General features: G+C 44.5%; 1 long non-coding RNA gene across 1 annotated transcript, besides 1 other annotated feature; it reads left to right on the top strand.

Moving 5' to 3' along the window:
* Window positions 1-2,880: 2,880 nt before the first annotated feature.
* LOC124903006 (uncharacterized) lies at window positions 2,881-25,694 on the top strand. The gene is made up of 2 exons (XR_007063439.1): window positions 2,881-8,016; window positions 23,810-25,694. It is a non-coding gene; the product is annotated as an uncharacterized LOC124903006 (long non-coding RNA).
* Window positions 7,956-8,735: an enhancer, noted in NCBI's record as "H3K27ac-H3K4me1 hESC enhancer chr12:105955477-105956256 (GRCh37/hg19 assembly coordinates)". NCBI's record gives its function as "activates a minimal SCP1, AML or CMV promoter by ChIP-STARR-seq in naive H9 embryonic stem cells {active_cell/tissue: H9 hESC(naive)}" and the evidence as "EXISTENCE:reporter gene assay evidence [ECO:0000049][PMID:30033119]".
* Window positions 25,695-26,508: the final 814 nt, after the last annotated feature.

The following is a 26,508-nucleotide window of genomic DNA, read 5'->3' on the forward strand; positions in this document are numbered from 1 at the left end:
ATTAGAATCTACGTGGTCACAGGATTCCCAGGGATTTCCATATATGTTAAAATTTGAGGAGCAGATGAAGGTTCTAGATCATTCACATTTAAAGACAAACACTGCCCAGATGTCTGGGTTTTGTGAATAACATGGGATTTCATTCATCTTGTGAGGGTAAATCTACTGTCAGCCCAGCCCGTTTCTAGAACAACAGAGCTATGAACATCAATGAGGAAAGGTAAGTTTAGACGCCTAATAGAAACTGAATTGTTTAACAACTTTTGGAGGAAACTTGGAAAATGTAACCGATGATTTAATGATCTTTAACTTAAAGCGATTAGAAATATGCAGGGTGAGGCGGTCAGTTTCACCAAATGGGGTTAGAACTTAGTTTTCTATGCAAAGATGGACACTCAGGTTGAAATTTCTCAAAAGTTCCGAGTTTGTGTCAAGCATATTGACGATCCAGTGGCTTCTTTCTTGTGACTGGGACAGACCTGGGAGGTGCAACACAGCTCTCCTTGCTGCTGCTCCATCTAATTTACAATGAGATCAGCATACAAAGGGGAGTGAGGAATCACTCTGCTAACAAGCTCCCTTCCCTCTTGTCTCTGGAAGAATGTTGGCTGACAGGGACACAATTAAAAAGGGATTGATTTATTGAGCTGGAATGCTCTAGCCCCCCTAATCTCAGAATCTCTCTGCTTCATGCAATCACCATTTCCAAACAAGAGTCAGCCTACACGAATGAAACTTTTCGTGATCACCAGGGAGCCAAAGACGTAGTTTACCAAAGGTAGCTCAGCCCTTGAAGCCCATTAAAAAAAACAAAAACCCACATAAAAGAAGCCCTTTCCTGCATGAGGGCCTGGATAAGGATCTGGAATTCAATAGGAAAGGATGACCTAAACAAAAAGTAAGCAGTACTCATGAAAACTGCTAACCTTGGCTCCAGGGAGGGGCACAGGTCAAGAAGAGTAAGTGGGCAAGGAGCCCTTTTTTTGTCTTTTACATAATGAAACTATAAATTTCTGTTAGAAATCACAGGATCATCAAGCATTTGGAATGTTTATGAGGATCCTGGTGGGATTCAAGAGAAGAAAAAAAAATCTGTGGATTTGAATTCAATTCTTCCTTTGAACTGTCTCATTGAACCCAGGTGGTCAAATCTCTGCTGTTTGTATGCATGTCATTATTTACAATTGTTGGGATTTGAGAGGGTACCCAATAAATAGCACCTATTTTTTTTCACTAGAATTCTGAACTGTTCGTAAAGTAAAACAAAAGACTTGGCAGATGGAGACGGAAATGGAGCATCCGTTTTGTTACTGATAAAGTGGGTGCTGGAAAATGGAGCTTATATCTGTGCATTGGTAGATTTCTTGATATCGAATACCCAACCTAAAAATATTACCTCCCAATCACAGCAGCTCTGGACAGGCCTTTGTGGGACGTGTATGGAGGGGCAGCAGAACGTACTCCTTGATAGCAGCCTCACTCCCAAGGGAAAGAGAAAAGACGCGGCTGGGCTGCACATACCCAGTTTCTCCTTCCAGATTTATCAGAATAAGAAAACCACTTCTTCCCTGGGGGGAGTAAGTCAGGGGACAGAGAGAAACCAGGAGTGAAGTGGGACCTCTCCCACATAGAAGAAATCGTCATGAGTGGGGAAGAAGCATCCTCTACCTTCACACTTTTGAAAATTAATGATAATATTACTAATAATAACAGTAATGACAATAATAAGAACAAAAGTGATCATTTACAAAGTATTTACTTGCTCAGGTTCTGAGCAGAATCCCCTACCTCATTTAATCTTCACAACAACACATTGAGATAATTTTATGATTGTGTCTCTGCAACAGGTGAGAAAACTGAGACACAGAGGTTGCGTAATTGTCCAAGGACACACAGCTAGGAAGTGGTACAGCTACAGTGCAAACACAGCTTTGCCTGACTCCAGAGCCTGAGTTGTGCAGCAGACTCTGCTCTATTTGTTGAATGAATAATGAAGTAAATGAATAAATGAATAAATGAATGAGGTGAACTAGAGGATAATGTGTCTAGAAGTCTGGCCGCATGGGGGAAATCTGTGTGCAGGATTGCTAGGTTTGGCAGCCGGCCCATCTTTCCCTCAGTTCAGAGGCTGACCCTGAGGATTTTTCCCTAGAATGTTCTGCCCTGCCCGGCTGGGCCAGGCCAAGCAGTGCTCCAGCAGGTGGACCTTGGAGCTAGTCTTGCTCTCCCAGGAGCCCAGCGTCAGGGCTTGCTGGGGGCAAGAGCCAGGGGGCTGCTTGTCCACAACCATCCCCTTTGCTTGGTCTCTGATTTGCATTCTAGATTTCTCAGTGGCCTCAAGGCTCTGAATGCTTCCCAGATGGCCACTGGCCTAAACACAGGTGGCCAGGGGAGCACTTAGACAACCCACTCCATGGGAGAGGGATCAACCCGTCTCTGCCTGAGCTAGAAATCTGACTCACAGATTAGGGGTCAGGGAAGAGCGCAGCGACTGAAGCTGTCTTCAGCTCCCCGTCTCCCTGTGGGAATGTCCCCATCTCCCGTGCATCTGGCCACCATATTTCCAGGCATCTCTCTCACCACCAGGCATTACACAAAAATCAGAGCCTCTGAGATGCCCTTTTCCCTTACTTGCTCTTTTTTTTTTTTTTTTTTTGAGACAGGGTCTCACTCTGTCACCCAGGCTGGAGTGCAGTAGCATGATCTTGGCTCACCACAACCTCCACCTCCCGGGTTCAAGCAATTCTCATGCCTCAGCCTCCCAAGTAGCTGGGATTATGGGTGCCCACCACCATGCCTGGCTAATTTTTGTATTTTTAGTAGAGATGGAGTTTCACCGTATTGCCCAGGTTGGTCTCGAACTCCTGACCTCAAGTGATCTGCACACCTCGGCCTCCCAAAATGCCGGGATTACAGGCATGAGCCACCACGTGGCCTCATTTGCTCTCTACACCAACCTGCAATTTACGTTTGAACCCCTGGAGTGGCAGCATAATCTTTATCAGACTTCCCTCCCTCCAGGTCAGGACCCCTTCCCTTCTCCAGGTACCCGCTTCCTACTCCCCACATGCCACCTCGGCTTCCCCACCTCTCCCTTGCCCCTGTGTCCCACCCACTCCTGTACAGAATTCTGCTATCTTAATCTCTTTCTTTGGAAACTCCTGTCATTTGTAATTATCCCCCATTTCCTTCCTCTACCTCAGCCTTTTTTTCCCAGGCCACCTTCGCCTTCTCAGCTTTCTTTTCAAAGATGCTGCATTTTTTTTCCTCCTTATTTGGACCAACATGACCTGACAGGGTGGCTGAAACGGCATACTGGGGATAGAAATATGTGCCAGTTCCCTCCATAGGTTTTTGTGTTTTTTTGAATGGGGCATTTGCAATCAATTTATGGAGTTTAGCTGAAAGGTTAAGGAGTTTTCACTTAAAAATCAACCTCCCCAAAGGAAAATATTTGGTACATCTTTTCTTTCATTGTAATTGAGGTCTCCACATGCGCCTATGCTTAGGATCTATTCTGGAAAAGGCTCCCAGAGAAAAACCTGTCTAGTCCATTCAACTTCTACTCCAGTCTTATGAAAATGGATTTCATAAACAGTAGAGAACATATTTGTCCTTTTATCTTCTTCAGGATTATCTCTCAGAGAAGTGATGTCAAAAGGAGGTGCTTCTAATGATGCCAAAGGTGGGGATGAGACTAAGCGCGTCAGTTCAAGGGTCCACGTGTATTTGAGTGCATCCAGGAGAGGTCTCTATGGACATAAATGTCTATGGAACAAAACAAGACAAAGCAACCTTGAATTATTAGCTGAGACCTAACTCCAAACCGTCCTGCAAACTACAGCACATCCAGGCTCTATCTCACGGAGATTTCCTTTTCTTAAGCTAAGTGGCCCTGAAGGAGTCTGGGGAGGATGCTGGTGACATCCCCACCCAGACCCTGTTACTGGGCCGGTGCCCCCACACTCCTGCTGCTCTGAGTGGGGCCTACTAAAAACTCACAGCTCCTGCCTTCTCTAGAGATTTCACCCACAGGACTTCTTCAGCAATAGGAGACACTTCACTGGAAACATACATGCCCCTCACAACTGTCCCCTGCAGCCTGCATCCAATGACTAACCAATAGGAGATATGAGAGGACACCCCTTGTTTCAAAGTCAGACCAACTTTGCCATGTCATATAAGCCATGCAAACCAGACCATACAAGCCATGCCCCGGAGCTCCCTGTGGGATAAGGCTTAAGCTGGATCCCAGCTGGGACCACATTTTGGCCTAGTTCCTCCCTTTCCTGTCCTGCTTTCCTCACTTCCACAATAAATCATGCATACCCACATCCTTGTCTCAGGCTCTGCATTCAGGGAACCAGATCTAAACCGGACTCCAATGCCAAGTCAGCCAAGGGATCTGCCCATCAATGTCCAGACCTCAGTCTCAGGTCTTGCCACTGCAGGGTGAGGAAAGATCCCATGCACTGAGAGAAGCAGGAGAGACTACAGCAGCAGACGCTTGCCACAGTGCTGTTCTATACTACTTGATCCAGATTTGCTGGAGCTCCTCTGGTGGAGAGAGTCACAGGCTTGTGCCTCTTGGCAGGCTCAAGAAAAAAAGTATATCAAAATGGGATGGAGAGTGTCAAACAGAAAGAAAGATGACCTTCTCTGATGGAGCTGGGCTCCAGGTTCATAAGAAAACCAATAGCCCAGAGATGCAGGAGAGCATGTCTTTAGGCCCCAGCAACTATGGAAGCAAGAGAGTTGAAGAGACATGCATTATTTATTCCTGGCCTTTTAGACATGCCCAGTGAATGCTCCATCTCATCTATCATAAGCGTTTCTCCCCTTTGTGGGTGGAATAGGGTGGATGAGAAGGGATTGAGTGCAGTCTTGGTAGGGAATGGATAGAGAAAAGGAGAAGTGAAGTGGTGCTCTCCTCCCAGAGGCCACCTTTACTCTACCTCTCACTTCTTGGCTATCAAATTCTTCCTACCCCTCCTCTCTGGGAAGTCTTAGCCCACAGTTGTCTTTTGCTTCTATCAGCTTCTCTTCCACTTTCCTGCCTGACCCAACTCCTTGTCATTCATTCAACAAATATTTCCTAAATGCCCACTGGTCTCTCCTGCTTCTCTCAGCACGTGGGACTTTTTTTCTCACCCTGAATTGGCACGACCTGAGATTGAGGTCTGGACATTGATGGGGCAGATCCCTTGGCTGACTTGGCATTGGAGTCTGGTTTAGATCTGGTTGCCTGGATGCAGAGCCTGAGACAAGGATTTGGGTATGCATGATTTTTAGGGGTTGGGTACTTTTCCGGACATTGGGGATTTATTAGCAAATAGCTGCCATTTGTTCCCAATGGGGAAAGACACAATAAACATACAAACAGCTAAATTGGGCACATTAGGCTAGTGATAGGTGATATGAAGAAAATAAAACAAGAGAATCATGTACTTATCATGCTAGTGTTTGTTTCTGTGAGTCTCATCTGCCCTGTGAAGTTGCAAGTGCTTCGTGGGCAGAGATCTCCACTAATACTTCTTTGCTTCTTCCAAGGAGCCTGGTCCAGAGCCTTATCTAAGCATCATAAGAAATCAACACAAACTTCATGATTTCTGGACAGCAATTACACTCAGGATTTTCAACTCTGGACCAGCCTCAGGTTTCACTCCTTTTGCCCTTGGACTTCACCCATTGTGTGCTTTGTGTGCAGTGGTGTGAATGCGGTCTCCCAGGGCCTGCGTTTGAGCTGGCTGCTGCTTGCTGGTGTGTGACCTACGCTGAGTCTCGACTTTCATAGTCTCACCTCCCTTCCGGGAAAGGCAAGGAAGGTGAGAATGCCCACTCCAAAGGGTTGTGGAGGACAGAATGGGATGATCCATCTTCTATGACAAGAGGGTGATGGACTAAGTACTGATTAGTGAGAAAGCCAGGATCAGCCTCAGGGGATCCACAAGGCGCATTGGACCCATGGCCCTGGCCACCTGGTCAGCTTCAAGGGAGTCTTGGCCACTGGTTTTGGTCTTGATCAAGGTCCTGAGCATAGGCCTTTAGGAGTCAGCAGAGGATGTGGGAGAAAGGTTCTCTCCAGCCTTCCTACTGCCACATATCAGGATTCATCTTTTCTCTCCTCAAACTGATACCTTCCCAATGTCCGCATTTCTCTCCCTACTTAGGCTTGAAACCCCAGGTTTGCCTTTGCTTTTCCTTTTTCTTATCCTATTCCTCTACTCAGAAGCCAGGTCTCCCAGGTCCTGTGTTTTGTTTTCTCCAACTCCCATCATTTTCTTTCCTTTACTCCTGCCCCGCTTCCAGTTCTAGGTCCTTACTTTGCATTTTGGGGTGGTTGGTGTAACTTCCTCATCGGTATCTCTGACTCCTGCTTCTCCTCTTCACACTCCATCTGGCATACTCAGAGATCCAGCTGAAAAATAGAAGGACTCTAGGAGAAAATAGTGCGGACCCCTTTTGCTGGCATTTTGAGCTCTCTGCTACTGGCCCTCTCTACCTTCGTAGCTTCCATCTGCCAGGCAGCAGCCAGCTTGTCCACTCACTGCTCCCTGAACGTATCTGGTGTCTCCCTGCCTCTGAGCTTTTGCTCATGCTGTTCCTGCTGTTGAGGATGCTGGATTTGCCCTGCTCTTCAACACCCAGTTAAGAGGTAGTCCCTGATGCCACAATCAGCTGGGAACTCGATATCACCTCTGCAATTTGTACCCCTGATCTTACACCTTTTGCATGATACTTACATTCAGATTGATACTCTAGGAGTTCTTGATTTTTTTTGTGATATTACTGAGGGAGCTTTACTTTTTTAGACCCTGACATGAGAATGTCAGCCATGTTTGTCGAGAATGTGAGTTCTCTCCAGCAGCAGATGCTGAGTCCGGTAGAGCTGAGATGAGGACACCTGACACAACCCAAGTGGGTGTCTGTGGTTGCACTTGAGTGGCAGGGGATGGAGGAGCAACCAGGGAGATGGCAAAATATGATGTGTCCCGCTTAATGTTCCTTCTTCCTGGGATTCTCCAAATCTTCAGTAAAGATAAAATTCTTGAAGCAAGAAGAATTTCTGTAGAACCAGAGAAAACATTGACTCATGGGTCGGTGGCATCCCAGGTGACCTAGGAGTGGGTGGGCCAAAGAAACATGAAGAGCCCACCTGTCAGCTGCCTGCAGGGACTGTGGAGATGCCTTGGTTCCCATGAAAGGTGACGAGTGTAGTTTCTGATGAGTTCAATGCCATTTCTTTTGCAGAGTGGCTTGGGGGAACCCAGATGGCATCTGGGATAGATTTCTCATCCTGTCTGAGAGATTCTTGGGGAAGAATGCTAAAATCCTTCCTTTTAGTTCCTCTGGTTCGATGCCTAGCACAGCAATTGTTGATTTAAATAGAGATACTGAGGCAGGTGGTGATTTCTTTGCAGGGGAGTACGTGCTACCAGACAGTTTGTTTCTCCTACTTAGTATTACATAACGTGCTCTTTCTCCCATTTTTATATATGATCCTCACAGTGAGCATGGATGAGAGACTTTGTATACAGAGAAAGAAAATGGGACTCACAGAGGGTGAATGACTTCCTGAAGATCGCACAGTTAGAAAGTGGCAGAGCTGGGACTTAAATCCAGAGTTCCTGGCTGCAAATCTAGTGCTTGGTCAGTCTTCCATACCAGGCAGACTCCTGAGTTCTTATACATCAAGTAAGGCTGAACTGGGAGAATCTGGGAAGCTGGATTGCAGTGCCCTCTCTATTAACTCCCAAAGGAAAATGATATAATTTGAGAGTATGAGCTGATGCTAGGACTCTCTCTTCTTTCTTACATTATCTTCATGGAACATTTTGGTCATGTACAGATACGAAAGAGTCCCCAGAATGTCTTCCAAAGGAATTTCAGGACCCTAAAGCCTGGAAGCATCAGAAAACATTAGTCATCTGGATCACTGAACCAGAGCACTGCTTTGAAATGTAAAGGATTCCTGCATGAATGTCCACTCCACCCAGAAGACCGTCATTGTTGCTGGTAGGGTGTAATCTACAATTTGTGGCCTTCACCATTGTGTCATGCATTGATTCCTACATCAAGAGCCACGTGGGGTACATGTCATTTTCCTTCTCTTTACAAATGAGAAAATGAGGCTCAGATTAAATTACTTGCCCACGTTCATGCAGCTAGTAATGGAGAGATGTGGAATACAAAGCCATATTATTTCTTAATTCAAATGCTGTGTTCTCAGCCACGATGCTATCATGCCTGCAAGTAGACATTTGCTGATTGAATGGAGTTGAATCACACTACAGGAGTGAGTGTGGATAAGAGCCAAGTGTCTAGTACAGACAGAAATGTGCAGGAGTAGAGAGAAGGGTGGATTGCCGGGAGAAAGTGTGGCACTGCCATCAGACTGTAGGTGGCCTCGCCATTGGGTCAAGCAAGTATTTGGTGCTGGGGAGTATGGAGGGGGCACACGGGCCTTCTCAGGCAGCCCAAGAAGGACGAGGCCTTATAGGAAAACTGACTTAAGATGAACCCTGCCAGAAAGGGCCACTCCGTCACCAGCCTTGTCTGAGGTCATATTTCAAAGACTGGCTCAGGGCCACTGGCTGGGGTGCAGGGCTGTGAGATCATGGCTGAGCAATCTGACTTTTAAAAAATATAAGGACCAACTTGGGAGTTTTATCGCAGTTCTGCGTTCTGCCGCCCAGGCATGAAGTCAGCTGGCCTGCTTGTGACAGGGAGCATTTCACTTGTAATTAGCTGGTTTTTTTTTTTTTTTTTTTTAATATTCTGCCTAAACTGCGGTGTGGTGTGAGTGAGCCCGCTCCCTTGGAGCTGCCCCACAGCGGTAGCGGAGGTGAGTCATGGCCATAAAATCTGGAAAGCTCGTAGGGGGATGGAGGGCGGTGGAGAAATATAAATTATTGTGATCGTCTTTCAGGAGCGCTCGAGTTAATTATTGTACTTTCGCCAGCTGCGTTGTGCCTTCATCAATGCCGAGCCAGAAGTGATGGTTTTAGTGGGGAAAGAGTCGTTCTTTAATGGGGCAGAGGCCCACGAAGCCCTGTGTTCTTTTGAGGGAGGTTGGGTGCATGAAATTCCCAGCACCAGCTGGAACCTGTGCGGATTTGCTCTGAGACACTTGGGTGTGAGCAGCGTCACGTTTTCTTTATTTTTCTAAAGCAAATAAATCTGGCTTCGTTCTCCACCTGCCAGGGCTGGCAGGCAACCCATTCTTAGTTATGTCTTTTTTGATGGGGCAGGGGGGGCAGTGAGGGGTTCTTTCTTTCTTTTTTGGGGGCATAAGGAAGCCCTGGGAATTAGGTAATTCAGCAAGATCTAAAGGCACCTTCCTGGCCTTGGGTCCACTATGAAGAAATAATTGCTCATTGCCTGCAAAGTACCATTTTGAAGGGGCTCCTCATCTTCCTCTATCCCAACCCTGGGCCAGGGGGTCTGGGAAGAGGCTCCCACAGCTTGTGACCTTGTGTTATCCCTAGGCCCAAGCTTCATTATCCACTATCTGGTGCCGTAGGTCTCCACTATCAGAGACTTTTAAACCACGGTTTCTTCCCCAATCTCAAGGAAAACACATAACATCTCAGTTTGAGTCACCTCTCCTCTGTCTTTCTTTTTTTAAATTATGTATTATTTATTTTTTATTTGAGGACAGGGTCTTGCTCTGTTGCCCACGCTGGAATGCAGTGGTGCATTCTTGGTTCACTGCAGCCTCAACCTCCTGGGCTCAAGCGATCCGCTCACCTCAGCCTCCTGGGTAGCTGGGACTATAGGCACGTGCCACCACGCCTGGCTAATTTATTTTTTTTTAAGAGATGGGGTCTCACTCTGTTGCCCAGGCTTGTCTCAAACTCCTGGCCTCCAGTGGTCCTCCCACCTCAGCCTCCCAAAGTCCTGGGATTACAGGTGAGACACTGCACCTCACCACACTTCACCTTACAGGTGAGAGCCACCTCCCCTCTCCTGAGAGAAAGAAAAAGAAACAAAGACAAGAAAAGAAAGAAAAGCACCAAACCAAATCAATCAAACAAAAACAGAAGTTATATTAAATGTTTTCCTTGGCTATTGGTTCAGAAAAGGAGAAAATGACTTTTTAATTCTTTATATCTCCTCTGGCAAGAAGAGGTCGAACCACTTCTCCATAAGCTTATCATCACTCCAGCTGCGTGACCTTGAGCAAATTACTGACACACTCTGAGGCTCAGTTTCTCACTGGAATATTTTAAGGATTAAGTGATATGTCCCATGTCAGGCACTTAGCATGGAGCCCGACCTGGAGTTGGCTCTCAAAACATGGCTATTTGTGGAGGACTGTGAGCTCTGTGAAGTTGCCTATAGCTTCTCCACCCTTGAGGACAGGGGCTGTAGTTTGCTTATCTCTGTATCCTCAGCAACTGGGCACCCAGTAGGCATCCAAAAATACTTGGTTAACTGGATAGTTGTAAAAGGCGGAGATTTCAGAGAGGCTGAGAAGACCAAGCTTCCTTTACCAGCCCAGGCCAACTGGCCTTCACGTTGCATGTCCATAGTAGACCCATGCATGCATCTTGGGCATGTGCAGTGTGTGACTCAGTGGTGTCAAGATGTAACCAGGAGGACTGCAGATTTGGTATTGCTCACTCTGGATACCAAAATCTTGACTATAATAGATAGGGTGACTTGAACATTTTCTACGTTTTAACAAGAGTGTATTTCCCCATTGCCCAGCCTTTATTAGGGCCCATTTCGGGGGCTTTCTCTCCCATCCTACCCTTGGTTTCTGTGAGGTTTATAAGTGTCTCAGGTCACTGAGAAAATGGGGGTATGCTACAAGAAGAGTTTGATGGGGCTTAGATAAATCTCAAGTCACAGCAGATGACTTTCTTCTGTATGATCTATGAGCAAGTCGCAGGTGATATATAGATATATATAGCTAAGCTGGCTTCTTTACCCAGTTGACTTGGAGTGCTCATTTATATGGGGTAGACTATAACCTGCATTTATATGGTTGGAAGCCTTCCAGGCACTGACCAGCAGATTCCTATGGCTTCCCCACTCTCCCTATTTAAGCCAGCTTTGGCCCTCTTCATTCCAGTGCTCCTCACCCAATTCCCATCTCCTGTAACGTCATACCTCTGGTCTAGTTGTTCCCCTGTCAGGCCAGGTGACACAGGAATGAGCTTGTCTTTCCTCCCATGCTCTTTCCAGTTTTTTATGGCTATAGCTTAAACTCTGCACTTTTCTGCCCTAACACCTTCCTTTTTGAATCTCAAGAAACTATTTTGGAAATAAAAAAAGTTACACATCGCCTGGTTTTTGTTTTCTCAGTCCCATCTCTTCTCAAGGCTAGAGATGCTCAAATTGACCAGGGAAAGTGTATGAAGTGAAAATGAGAAAAAGAACAGCACCCAGTATATCCTTGTGGTATGTATAGGCCTATATCCTGATACCTGAAGGAATTCTTCCACCTGGAACTTTATGAAAAGGACCGAAGAATTTGCAGGAAGAACTCAGCTGACCTGCTATTAAAAGAGAGCGATCTCTATTTATGATGCATATTAAGTACTGGTGAATGATGCACAGAGAAGTCGCTGCGCTCTCATATTTAGGATACTCTGATTTGATTTGCAATCACATCATCAAGTATACCCTTATTTCATCATGTATGTGAAATGGGAGGTGATGGTGGTGAGGATATAGAGAATGACCCTTGTGTGTTGAGGGGATGGGTGGGAGAAGGTCAGAGAAGATCTGTTTAAGGAAACAACAGTTGAGAAAAGACTCAAGTGGCTTGAATCAGGGAGGCAGAGGACAGTAGGGAAAAGAGCATTCCATGCAGGCATGCAAAAGCCCAAGACAAGCTTGAACAATCAGTGGCTGATGTGGCTACAGTGGTGGGAGCAAGCAGTAGGGATGGGGGATGACGAGGAAAGACAGTTGAGTGTCCTAGACTGGCAACATTTCAAATTCTTTTTTAGGGCGAATGAGAAGTTTGGTGAGTTTAAAACTTGGGCAGGGGTGAGGGGGACAGAGATATGGTCTGATTTGCAATGTCAAGTTATGAAACTACATGAAGTTCCTGAATCACAGAGCTCACAGGCCAAAAACCATTTGTTCCAGAGGCCTCATAAAACTGGAGGCAGAAATTTTTGTCAGCTTGAAGGATAGCTTGAGGTCACCTTACTTTGCTACCTTGCAGTGGTGGCAGGGAGAAGGGAGACAGTCTTTACTGAGAGCCTATTCCATATTAATCATGATAAGTGGAGAAACATAGCTGATATCAGGCAAAGTGCTGCTTAGTAAAAAGTAAGATAATCTTTAGGCTCAGGGGCCTTCCTATACCTCTGAAATAAAAAGGTGAAGGCAACCAAGTGACATTCTCTTGATATAGATTGACAATGGAAGAGGAAATGAACTCTTTCTGTGTACCTACTTTCTGTGTACCTACTATGCACTTGACCTGAGCTATGTGCACTAGTGATATCTCACGGAATTCTCACAATAAATAGTTGGGTGAAGTTTATTTAATACCTAATGAGAAGTGTTTGGTGATAACAGAGAAGTCACAGCATTTTACAGAAGACTGAGCTTTGGGGCAGTGGAGTACCTTGCTCAGGTGACACAGTGCCCATGAGGCAGAGCTTGGACTCTGTTCAGGTTTAGGGGACTTTTCAAGGCTCCCTTCCCACTTCTCAAGCTGCTGGTGACTGACTCTTTCTCAGAAACCCCCCACCCTCAGGGTTTCAGAACCCCTTCTTTCTGCTCCTGTCTCTACCTTTCTTCTTTGATGGCTGCCTCCTCCATTTCCAGTGGGAAAGAAGTATCCAGGAGACCCATGGGAGCATGGGAGAGATTGGGCTGGAACATCTAGTTGGTGGAGACCCTTGGAAGCCTTGGGACGAAGGGATCTCTTGGGGCCCCCCACCCTTTGTGCTGAGTATTCATGAAGTCCCAGAAGCTGACCCAAGGGACCCTGGCCTCTCACCCAAACTGTTCAGAAGCTTTCTTGTTCACAGCCACATCATGACTTCCGTAAGTTTGAGGTGCATTTGTCTTCATGGGCGCCTTCCTCCATAAAAGCATATGAAAATAATTTAATGGATTTTGGGGGGCCTTAAACATTTCATTTTTTTTCTGAAAAATAAAATTAAAACATTTTATTCAACTTCATCAGTTCATTTGTCTTTCCTTTGGATTTTAAGGAAATGAGAACATTTTCATGCGCCCCTGAAAGGGAGCCCCTACGCACTGTGCCCACCTGCCTGATGGAGAGGTCAGCTCAGTGCTCATGGACTAAGAGGATACATCATAACTATGGCAGAACCTGCTTGGGGGCTTCACTATCTTGGTGTCTAGATGCAACTTCCCCTAGATGAGACTAAGGTGACTATGAAGTAGTCATGGCAAAGGCAGAAGCCAGGGTAAGGTCAGCCTGGATTTACAGAGCCTGTGGAAGCCTGGGCTCTGGTTCCCACACATCCTAGTGTTTGCATGTGTGGTTTCCTCTTCTGGATTTCCCTCCCTCAGTTGTTCATTGAGCCTTTCCTGAGTCATTCTTCAATCTCAGGACATGTGAGCACATTCTCTGGGAGACTTCCGTGGTGCACCTGGAAACCTTGTGCTTTGTTTAGGGCAAGCCATGTGAAATTGCCATTTTTGTGGGTCACAAAGGATTACTGCCAGGGACATATGAATCCTTGTGCTCTGATCTTTCCACTGGAGTTTAAGTTCTGAGTAGGTAAAGACTGTGACTTGAACCTGGCTGCATTCCCAGCAGCTGATGCACTCTCCTCTACGTTTGTTGAATGAATGGACGATTCGACTGGAAGGGAAGATCGCCCATATTTTCAAGGTTCTCAAATTTGAATAGGCATGAGAATTTTCTGGAGGACTTGTTAAAATGCATATCACTGGGCTCCACCTCCAAAATTCTGATACTAGATTCCTGATCATTAGCATTTCTAACAAGTTCCCAGGTGAGGCTGCTGCAGGCACCACATTTTGAGAACCAATGCTTTACTTCTCTAATAGTTCTTTCCTGGGGATGGGATGGAGGTCAGCGATGCATACTATTCTGGGTTGAATAGTGTTTACCCAAAATTTGTGTGCACCTGGAACCTATGAAAGTGACTTTATTTGGAAATAGAGTCTTTGCAGATGTAACCAGGTGAAGTTGAGGTCATACTGGATTAATGTGGGTCCCAAATCCGTTATGATGGGTGTCCTTATAAAAAGAGGGAAATTTGGACACACATAGAGCCACATAGGGAAGAACATCGTGTGAAGATGCACACAGAGATTGTAGGGATGCATTTGCTAGCTAAGGCATCCCAAGGATTGCCAGTGACCTCTAGAAGATAGGAGAGAAGCATGGAAGCTCTCCTTAGAGCCACTGGAAGGATCCAATACTGCTGACATTTTGATTTTGGACTTCTGGTCTCCAGAACTGTGAGGGGAAAATTCCTATTGTTTTAAGCCATCTTAGTTTGTGATAATTTGTTACCACAGTTATAAGTAACTAGAACTCAAAAACCCAAATCAGTGATGACGATACAGGGCAGGTGAGCTCCAAAATTGGGACTTTGTCTGAGAGGGTTCTTTTGATTAAACAGTACTCCTCCCTACAGACCAGGGCTAACTCATAGGCAGTGCACCCAGAGTTGGCAACAAATGGGGTCTTGAGGGGCCAGGTGTGGTGGCCCATACCTGTAATCCCAGCAATTTGGGAGGTTGAGGCAGGAGGATCACTTGAGGTCAGGAGTTTGAGACCAACCTGACCAACATGGTGAAACCCTGTCTCTACTAAAAATACAAAAAATTAGCCAGGTGTGGTGACGGGCACCTATAATCCTAGCTACTTGGGAGGCTGAGGCAGGAGAATAGCTTGAACTCAGGAGGTGGAGGTTGCAGTGAGGCAAGATCCTGCCACTGCACTCCAGCCTGGGTGACAGAGTGAGACTCCATCTCAAAAACAAACAAACAAACAAACAACAACAATAAAAGACAAATGGGCTCTTGGCAACTGTATTTATACTCACTTAAACCCACTTTTAATTATATGCAAGTTAAGGGAAACTATTTAGAACTTTCTCTGAAAGGGGCAATAACTTCTGGGTCATTGCTATGGCATTTGTAAACTGTGGGAGTGTCTTATGTTAATGAGCAATGAGGGGAGCTAGGGATCACTTTCATCACCATCTGCTGATTTGTACCGTTTTTTTTTTTTTTTTTTTTTTTTTCACTTTAACCTGTCTGGACCAAATCCTGTTTTGGTCCACAGGGTTATGACCAGAAAATAAGTCCTGCCAGTTTCTACCTTAATTTTAATCCTCTTCTCCTTCATTGAGAAGCTTTAGAGAGCATTGGAAATCGCCTGAAGGATCAGAGTCCCCAGGTGAAGCTGTGCAGGTTGTTCCACCTGGCCAAGGGGGTCCAGTCCACTCCAAGCCACGCTGCCCAGGAGGCTACTTCCACTCAGGGGCACCATATGGGACACCTTTACTGGGAGCCAGATGAAGAAAGATTCCCAGGTTCCAATCCCAAGATTCTACTTTTGTAATTTGGATGTGGGACCTGGACAACTGTATTTGAACAAGCCTCCCAGGTAATTAATCAATGGCCAAAGACTTCATTTAATAAAACATAGATTGTAGGGGGTTAGGTAAAATTGTAAAATAGACAAGCCATTACCTTTGACTTCTAAACCAAAGGTTCTTAGCTTTTTCATGCATGGGTACTTTGGCAGTTTGTTGCAGCCCAGAGACCCTTCTTAGAATAGAATACAAATCCTAAAAAATACATAGGATTACAAAGAAAAATTCATTATATAGAAACACAGCAATAAGAACATTAAAAACTCCAACTTTTGGATACAGTACTATAGGTGTTTCTTATATTAACATAACAAGAATTAGCAGTTGGTCTAATAACTACTATACTTTCTTTTTTTCTTTTCTTTTTTTTTTGAGACAGGGTCTTGCTCTGTTGCCCAGGCTAGGGTATAGTGGTGCTATCTCAGCTCACTGCAGCCCCTGCTTTCCAGGCTCAAGTGATCCTCCTGCCTCAACCTCCTGAGTAGCTGGAACTGTACACACATGCCACCATGCCTGGCTAATTTTTGTATTTTTTGTAGAGGTGAGATTTCATCATGTTGCCCAAGATGGTCTCAAACTCCTGGGCACAAATAAGCTGCTTGCCATGGCCTCCCAAAGTGCTAGGATTACAGGCATGTGCCACTGCGCCTGGCTAATAACTACTACACTTTCAATGTTGCAATGAGTCCAAATGATATTTTGAGATGCTCTGCCAACTGTAAAGTGATAAAAAAAAAATCTATGGTTTCTATTCATGCAACATCACAGGAACTGCTTATGCTATTGTGGTTTGTGGTCCACATCATAATTGACTACTCTTCAGTTAGAGTTAGTAGAAATAAAGATGCAGTTTTCCGTAAGTTCAAGGGCTCCCTGAACTCTCAACAAATACTTCGAAAGTGAAGAGTGCCTTGGAGTCTAGCTCTTCATCTTTTCCCCTTCTAGGTGGGGTCCCTGTCACCTTGTAAGCCTGTAGCAAACAAAGATTCTCCTTTTCTTGGCCCACATCAAATCTTCCCTTAAATACTACACAATATAGTGGACCAAGCATGGGTTTTGAGCCCATAGGTTTAAATACTTTCCTCCCAAGTTAACTTTAATCTGATTCTTTTTGACTACATTTACGAAAACCATTTTGTAGGGCTACAGTGAGAATTAGAGATGGTATATATAACTTGGCATACAGTAGGTCCTTAATAAAGATTAAATGACATTCCAGTTGTAAGTTACTTCTTTTAAAAATTTTTTTTTAGTGTTTCCCCAGTTAAGAGATATTTAAATCTTAATGAGGAGTCACTTCATTTCAGACACCTGCTGGAGAAAGAGGATAGGATGGGAGGAATGAGAATTCCTAAATCACTCCATGTTGGAGCCAAATAGATTCATTCATTCATCAGTCTTTCAAAGAACTTGCTGAGCACTACACCTACTATGCGTGCTGTTGGAGCTGGAGGAGCATTGGGAAGGCCCTGGCGGAGTCTGGGCAGAATTTTAGCAGCTCATCTCCTGAGGCCTAGCCAGCCAGTTCTTACATGGTAACGACTGGGCTAGACAGAAGGCAGTCTGGATGTCTGCAGTTGCTTGGCCACTTCCTTGAGCATGGCCTGTGCCCTGGCTAGTGTGAGCCCCAGGTGTGGAGAGGATGGGTAGACAGGTGGGTAAACACTCTCCTATGCTATCCCGGCCTGCTCTCACCCAGGGCCTGTCCCTAATAAAGCCTATGTGTGTGAGTGCCTCTGACACATGTAATGAAGGCCTCTGTTTGCCAAGTTTGCTCAACTGGCCATACTCTGGGCCCGCTTGGGGAATAGTCTGCAAAGCCACAAACAAGCCTTCCGGCATCCCCTTCTTCGCATTTCTTTGAGGTTAGAGCTGGCATTAGAGGGCTCTGGGGACACATTCCCCTTGTACTGAGGGGACTGTGGGCTCAGAATTTTACTGCTTTTCTCCAGGGTCTATAGATAGAAGTCAGGAAAGCTGCAACTGGGTCTGCTGTGATGAGGGAGAACAGGGAGCTGAATCTTGGCTCATGTTGTCTAAAATACAAGCTCCCTGAATATAATTCCAGCTTCATGTCCCACCCCTTTGATGGTGACAGTAATCTTTGTGAAATTGCCTCAAGATGCAAGTGAAGCAAGGAATTTAAAGTCAAGTATCCTGAATTTAATTATGTTCTATTTCTGTCAACTGCCAATTGTGTGACCTTGGGCGAGGCACTTAATCTCTCCAGGCCTCAGTTTCTTCACAGAGTATACAATAGATGGATAATAGGGCCTCCATTTCAGTGAGATAGTGGGAAAAGAAGTTCAGACCTATCCCCTCTCCTTCCAAAGCCCATAAACATACTCCAAATATATGAATCTTCTCCAGTTTCCAAATGCAGTCTCTGCTCTGTACCATGTCAACCCACATGAAGCCCAGTTCCTTTTGAGAGTTCTACTTGTAAAGAAGCAAGGGTAAGGTTAGTAGAATTGACAAAAGTGCCTTTTTTTGGCACTTGGTTTTGTCAAGAGAAAGAGAGATGAGAGGTTTACAAGGCAGACATTTGATCAGCTTCAGAAGGATAGAAGGTATTAGACCATCTATAAAATATCCTTTTTCCACTCCACCGTGAAGAGTCTCACTGTCTCCTCACCTTATCAAGTCTAAGTCCTTCTCTATCTGTGCATCCTCTTACTTTATCCTCTATTTTCTCTACTCTTCACCGATCTCAGAAAATTCATCCCCTTGCCTCTTGCCCAAGGTAGCAAAGTTTCCCCTTCCTAAAGCCGTCTGCATCAACATTCCTGCTCTTGTGATTCTCAACTATCTCAAGTACCTCAAAGCATTTTCCTGCAAAAGACTGTTCTTCCTCTAAGTGGATTTTGTGTACTTAATGTTAATAATAATAGTAATTCAAATAACATGAAGATTACATGAGATAATGAAAATGAAAGTATTTTAAAATGCAAGATGTTTTACGTATTCATCCATCCATCCATCCATCCATGCAGTGGACTTTACTAGGTGCTGGAGATGTTGAGATAAAAATTCATGGTCTAATGAGGCGTTAGAAAATTATTGCAGTAAAGTGTAATAAATACTATCAGTGTGCTACACCTCATGTAAAATGACGGGACAAAAAAGAGAGTAAGAGATTCACATTGCTATAAATATAATACAGTAGATATTTGAAGTAAAATCTAAACAAAGCAAGCTCAAAGTGTCCTGAGCATTTTGAAGAAAAAGAGCTTTCTTTTTGATGGATCTAGTTCATGGAATTACATTGACAATGATCTGCATCTTCCCTATGTGTCTATAGAGTCAGATCTGTGTCCAAGGTCTGCAACTTTCTGCCTGGGATTTATCTGACGTCTAGAATCTCAGTGTTCTCATCTGTCAAGTCTGTATAACAACCCTCTATAAGGTTGCAATAGAGACCGAAAGAGATTCATTCACTCGTTTATTTATTCATTTGACAAATAGTGCCAGACACTGACCAGGGCACTGGGGTTTTTACAGAGAATGAGACAGTGAATGGTTCTTTTTTTCTCAGAGTGAACATTCTGCTGGGGAGATAACACCTATTGGTGCCCAATCTTGTTAACCAGCACCTACAAGCTATGCAACAGCTTCACTCCAGCCTTTCTTCTTGGATTATCTTTTTATTTAATTCCCCTACCACTTGTCTCAAAATTCTCTTGCCTTAGAGTCCTTCAGATAGGGGCTGCATGAGGGAACTCCTGGGAGTCTGGGGGATGGGGAGAGTCATCATGTCCATGGCCAGCAGGCTGAGTTGGGAGTCATAGTTAGTTTGGGCTGCTTTAACAAAATACCATAGACTGCATGGCTTAAAAAAAACCAAACATTTATTTCTCACAGTTCTGGAGGTTGGGAAGTCCAAGATCAAGGTGCTGGTAAATTTGGTGTCTGTTGAGGGCTTGCTTCCTGGCTTAAAGATGCTGCCTTCCTCTTACGTCCTCATGCAGTGTTGAGAGAGAAATAATCTCTCTCAAGTCTCTTATGCTCAACCATCATGACCTAATCACCTCCCAAAGTCCCCATCTTCAGATACCAATGCATTGGAGGTTAGGGATTCAATGTATGAATTTTGTGGGAGACACCATTAAGTCCATAGCCGCGAGATGGCAGGGAGGGAATTAAATATACTGAAGCCCATGCGTAAATATCGCCTTCTTTTTGCTTCTTTCTGCTAAGGCCACTGGAGAGAAACCCAACTTTTTAATAATTTCTCCTTTTTGGTTCAAAGTTTACTACAAGTATGCTTTCTTTGTTTCTGCTATAATCGTGTCATTGAGTGGTCCAAAGATAAATGTCAACAATGCAGCCCTCTGGCTGGAAAGGGGCCCAGGATGCCTGGGCTTGTCATTAAGGAGCGCTGGTCGGGGGAGTGGAGGAGCCATGTAGGGGCCTGGCAGACTCAGCAGAGGACACAGTCATTAACTATGGGAGGGATGGGATGAGCCATCCAAGCCCTGGGTCTGGCAGAGTTTATGACTATGTGGTGGAGAGCAGAGTGCATTTGTATTTCAGGAAATCCCCTCAGCCATTGCACTGGTTTTCTCTGGCTTCTTTGTCAAGCCTGGGTTCTTTAGTTTTTTTATTTTATTTTATTTTATTTTTATTTATTTATTTTTTAAGTTCTGGGGCACATGTGCAGGATGTGCAAGTTTGTTACATAGGTAAATGTGTGCCATGGTGGTTTGCTGCCCCTGTCAACCCATCACCTAGGTATTAAACTACCTGGGCTCTTTAGTTTTGACATTTGTTTTTTCCTTATGGACTTTTCCTCTCATTACACATCACATACGTGTTGTGAATTCAAGCCCGGGAAGCAGTGTATTGTTTTAGGCATGGGACATTGGTGGTATATGGAATCTGTGAAAGGAATCAAGTATGCTGGAGTCATAAATGCAAGGCTTGAGGTTTTGTGGTGTGTGTGGGGAATGATGCAGTCAGGTTAAACATTCAGAGGTGGGACCAGGTTGCTTGACTCTCCACCTGGGCTACCGCACAACACCCAAGGGCTATTCTCACACAGATACAGTGTAGACAGTGCCTGCTGGGGTTGTGTGGCACAGTAGTCGGCTTCCAAATCAGTGCTCCTTCTTTCCACCTACTTCTCCCTCAGCCTTCCTAGTTTTAAGTGGTTGCCCCAAGTGCCAGTTTTCCTAAGAGCTTGGATTGGATCCAAGGAATGTAGTCCTGAGGGCTTCATCAGGAATTCTTCTGTAGAGATAGAAGCCAGGGAGCCGTGTAATTAGAACTTTCTCTGGGAGGCTGCAAGAGGGATTCTGCTCAAAATGGCCCTGGGTAGGAACCCTTCTTAGGATTGAGTGGGAAAACTGGGGAAGATCTTTCTGCTGTGGCTTAAGGGTATTTACCTTTCCTTCTTCATTGCTTATTCCGGCAATGTGCTCATGTTAGAGTTTACCATGTGCCAATGTTAGAGTTACAAAGACAAGAGCTTAGAATAAGGCTTAGGAACCTGGTCTTCATCATTCACTCCTTCGTGCCTCTTGGATTCCCCATGGAGAGATCCTGATTCCCCAGGGTTAAGCACTGAATGGAAACAAAATGCTACTCTAGTGATAGTTGGACAAGCACCTCACATCCCCTTCTTCTCCATACTGGCCCCCATTTCTGCCACCATTTGCAGGGTTTTCTGGCTAGCTGTCCTGGGGTATAAGACAGACCTGGGAGCCTAAGCAGGTTTCTATCACCTCCTCCCACAAAGCCAATAGAGATCTGCAAAAGAAGCCCATTTGTTTATCCATCCAGTGGCAGATATGTGAGAACTGAAACAGAGCTGATGAGATAGATTAGGCTTGGCCCACTGTGTAGGAAGAGCCCTGTGTAAGTCCTGTCCTTGAGAGAGTGCATGGGGACCCAGCCCATAGTAAATCATGGCCCAGTGAATGTATTGTTGCCAATATCACAAGCTGGGAGCTGGCCTTGACTCCTTCCTCTCAATCCCACACCCAACCAAGTCCTACTCATTCTACCTCTAAAATATCTTTCAGATCCATCTGCGTCTCTTTATCCCCTCTCTACCATCATAGCCACTACAACCTCATCTCCAGTACAGGAACAGTGTCTTCCTAGGTCTCTCCAAATCCCCTCTGCCCCACCCACCATCTGTTATCCACATTGTTGCCAGAGAAGTATCTTGAAAATGTCTATCTAGCTAAGTATTTCCCCTATTGAAGCCCTTCAATGTCATCTTGTTGCTTTTGGCTAAAAACTTTTTCAACGTTCCTCATCCTTCATCCCTCCCCCCTTATATTCTGTGTTTCAGACCTAATGAACTACTTTCCTCTTTTCCAAACAGGTAATGCTCATTCTCGCCTTTTCCCATGCTATTTCCTCTGTGCGAGACTTTTTAATACTCCCCGCTTCCTGCTTCAGTGAACTCCTATATAATCTTCATGTTCTCAGCTTAGTTGTCACTTTCTCCAGGAAGCCCTCTTTCCTTTCTCTGGGTTGGTGGTCTTCTTACCTGTTTCTGCAGCTGCACAGATCATGTATTGCCCTTGTCTGTTTTCTGGCCATGCTCCCTGGCTTTGAGAACAACAGGGGCCTCCTTGACTTCTGCTGGGCTAAGCATGTAGGGTCTTCCTTCCATTCCAGACCATGTGGATTCACTTAATCTCTTTATGAGTTTGCCTATAGCAAAAGAAAAGGGGGCACTGGACATCATAATGGATGATGTCCACAATACCAGTGATTTCTTTTAATATCCAAACATTCCATGTATTACTGGTTGTTTTATCGTCTCTCAACAAAGTCAAGGGTGAAATGAGATGTCAGCTCTTTAAGTGGTGATTCTGTGGGGTAGTGGGGTAGGGAATGCTTTAGGCTATGTCTGGAAACTCCTGTATTGAACACGATTTCACCTCCTCTCCTCTTAGGGTGGAAATGCTTGAGAAACCCTGATAAGATATTTGTTTGTTTTTTCCCCCTCTGTGGAGCATTAATAGTTTAGCCAAGCTTTCAACAGGAACTATCAGATGATTCACTGTAGAGCCTCTGGGGAGGGTCTAAAATGGTGTGTTGTTGTTAATTAGGAGAGAATCTGTACACTCTAGACAGCCAAATGTATCTCTTCCATACCCAGCATTTCCTGAGCTTCTACCCTGTGCCAGGCTCTGCTGGGTGCTGGGTTACGGAGGTGACTCAAGACCCATCCCTGCTCTTGAAAGTCTCACCCATATCTAAGATCTATAGGAATGGCATGAAGAAAATGTTAGGAGTTGAGAGATGGCAAAAAGCACAGAGATGCACCCAATTATAAGGAGCAAGTGAGGATGGTGCGTCACATTTACACAGGCAAACTTTAGGAGTGACAGTGTGCAATGACCCTCGAAAGTGTCTCCCAGGCCATGGCAGTGCCAAGGGCCAATGTGGCATTAGGAAGCTTTAGATTGCCCCAAAATCTCTAGAATCCCAAATTCTCGCTCTGTCTCCCAGGCTGGAATGCAGTGGCATGATCTCAGCTCACTGCAACCTCTGCCTCCCGGGTTCAAGCAATTCTTGTGCCTCAGCCTTCTGTGTAACTGGACTATAGGTGTGCACCCCCATGCCCAGCTAACTTTTGTAGTTTTTTTTTTTTTTTTTGAGATGGAGTCTTGCTGTGTTGCCCAGGCTGGAGTGCAGTGGCGTGATCTCCACTCACTGCAAGCTCCACCTTCTGGGTTCATGCCATTCTCCTGACTCAGCCTCCCAAGTAGCTGGGACTACAGGTGCCTGCCATGATGCCTGGCTAATTTTAACTTTCGTATTTTTACTAGAGACAGGGTTTCCCCATGTTGGCCAGGCTGGTCTTGAACTCCTGGCCTCAAGTGATCTACCTGCCTCAGCCTCCCAAAGTGCTGGGATTACAGGCATGAGCCACTGTGCCTGGCCCTCTTCCTTAATGATTTCTGAAGTATTAGGCAAACACATTCTCAAGCCCCCTAACCCCCTTCACCAGATTGTCCCTCCAAGTCCCTTGCTAATAGGCATTCTGTGGCAATCATTTCTTCCCTCTGGTTCCTTGCTAATTCACAAAAACCCAGCAGTTGATCCTTAGTTGGAAACTGAGACACATGGGGGTTGTCAAAGAGATGGGCATGACAGATGCAGACATTTGGGCTTGTGCAGACACATATTCACTTTTCTATATTCACACAGACACAGTCTCGTATACCTTGTGACGACTCTATAGCCATATTGTTCTCTGGCTTTGATAGGTAGAAATGTCTGCAAGAGAGTGAGTAAGCCCCTTCCTCCTGCTAGACACTTGGATACTTGGCAGACTTTTGCAAAACCGACCTAACAAGGACCTGGCCCCAGACAGTGGGACAATGAAGATTTCAACATTGTTTATGACAGCCTGTTGCTGTATTGTAAGTGACCTCAGTACCCCGCTTCTGAAGGAAGAGTTTATACGCTAAGAAGCCCGGAAGATATGTGGTGTGGAGTGATGGATGGAGTGTTTAGGGGTGAGGGATGGTGAGGAGTTGGGGAGGGGAAGCAGGTGCTGATCTTGAGGCCATTTGCAGTGGTGTTGGGACTCATGCCAATTATAATCCCAAAAGGCATAATTGCTAAAGATCACAATTTCTAGAGTCTAAATGCCCTAACATCTAAAATCCAGAAAATCACAATCCCAAAAGATTAAAATCCCTAATATTGAAAATTTGAAAGCCAAATTCTGGAGGAGGGATTAATGCATTTTTGGTTGTACACAGGATAGTTGTATCATGTTAGTTCCATCAAGTTAGCTGGAACTATTACCTTATTATTGTCTTGACACAATTACCAAGGTTATTGTACCTTGATAATGGATTGGCCATGAAGTATGGCAATGATAAAATCTTCGGTTTAAAGATGCATCATTTGTCTGCGTTAGCATCCTTTCCATCTAATGAAATTCCAGGAGCTTTGAATGAATGAATGCTACATTTACCTGAAGAAGCCAGCCATTACTGACTGGCTCAAAAATAATTGTGTATATGATAGGATAAGAAGACACTTATGCAACAATGGTGCTGTTTGATCACCAGTATTGTTTCTGCCAAATATGTGGCCTGTAGATGAGTGCATTCCAAATAGGTACCTGGGTGCCCAAAGTGACATAGAAACACGGCACAGAAGATGGAAAAATCGAATAGGGAATGCTCGTCGTGTTGGGGTCTATTAAATCACAGAAGAATTTCAAAAACAGCAGTGCCATGTAGAAAATGAAAGTGAACATATTCTCCATGGGGAGCCGTGCCCTAAAAGAAAAAAAAGTAGCTATTCATCTCGATGCAAGACTTCAAAACATAGTTAATGATTGTAAAAGTTGGGCAGCTCTTATGGACTGTCTCCGTGCAATTGCCCATAATCTGTCCTTGTAATACACTTTTTCATGTCAAAGCTTCTTTTTTGTTTTGTTTTAGTTTTTTCTTTTCTTTCTTTTTTAAAGTTTTTTTCCACCACTACTTAAAATTATCAGTGTTATCTTTTACAATTTGCTATGTTATATATTTCATCTTTGCATCATTTTCAATACTGGAGGTATAGATTGTGTAAAGGCTTTTTAAAGAGTTCTAATTCATTTTATGTATTTTTTTTTGAAGATTTGACTCCATGAAGGTGCATTATCACAATGTTGGCTTTGTGCGTAAGCATTATATGTGTACGTAAAAATGTGGAAACTTCCTCAATAAATGAGAGATGTCCTTTTTGTACATTTGCACTTGTGAAAGGTAAAATTCTAGAACTCAGCTCTTTGGGTAACTTGCCTGTGCTGTGGTGATGACCCACTGAGGTTTTTTAACTATCTTGTCAAATGACTTAGGTTGTCCATCATGATATTTCAGTGACTGCAATTATAAAGCTGGGTGCACACAATTACCAACGATAGTGATATGTGTTTATACAATTCACTTTTTGACCTGTTTCCCTATAAATCTGGCTTGTCTGCTTGTAACTATTATACCCTTGTGACTGTCCTAAGCACACTTAAGTGTTTGTGCTCCAAAAATATGTATTCTATTATTGGCTATTTTAATTGCATAAAGTAAATTATAAAGTATTCTGTCATGTTCTTGTATGTTTCTCAAATAAATCCTCTTTTAAAAATGTAAATAAATGTATTCTAAAGAGTTTTTTTTTAAATTATTTTTTCCAGAATTGTATTTTCAAGATTTTTATCTTTCAGGATTATAATTTTCAAGATTTTAGACTTTAGGGATTTTGGTCTTTTGGGATTTCAACATTTGGGATCGTGGCATTAGGAATTCTTTCAGGATTATGGCCCAAACCCATTGGAACATCTCTGACTAAACCAACAGAGATGAAAATCCTAAGTTTTCGTTGTTCATCGATTTGCCTCAGAAGCATGATGATGATGATACTAACAATAAGAGCTACCACTTTTTATAACTGGGATTTTGAGAAGACACAAATCAATATTGCCTCTTTCCCTTCTGATTCTGAACCAAGACAAAGGAGTGAGGAAAATGGGGCCCAATCCTCATCTGTATGACTGGAGCAAGGACTTGGAGTGAGAACCCACAGGGGCTTATTGACTTCCAGCACTGAGACTGGACCTTGGAGCAACCAACCTGAGGGCAAATTGGAATCTGCAAAGCCACACACTTCTCCAGGTAGGGAAGGATGGAGGAAGAGAGGCCAAGTCTCCCTCCTCGAGATCTTTGATGGGTCAGCACCACCCATTAAAGAAAGATAGACGACTGGCTCTTGTTTACCAGCCAGGTGGCTCACTCTGTCTCCTCAGGGAGTGCTAAGAGGTTGGACAAGTGGCCCGGTGTGTTATTGCTCCCTCATCACAATGACTATCTAGAGTGGGGCAAACTTGTCCCTCGAATGTTCCCCGTGTTTTCATCATAGTCAACTCATAATCAGTGTGGGATGTGGCCGTCCCTTCAGGGGAGATCAG

This window comes from Homo sapiens, chromosome 12, assembly GCF_000001405.40.
Source record: "Homo sapiens chromosome 12, GRCh38.p14 Primary Assembly".
In the NCBI taxonomy this organism is placed as follows: Eukaryota; Metazoa; Chordata; class Mammalia; order Primates; family Hominidae; genus Homo; species Homo sapiens.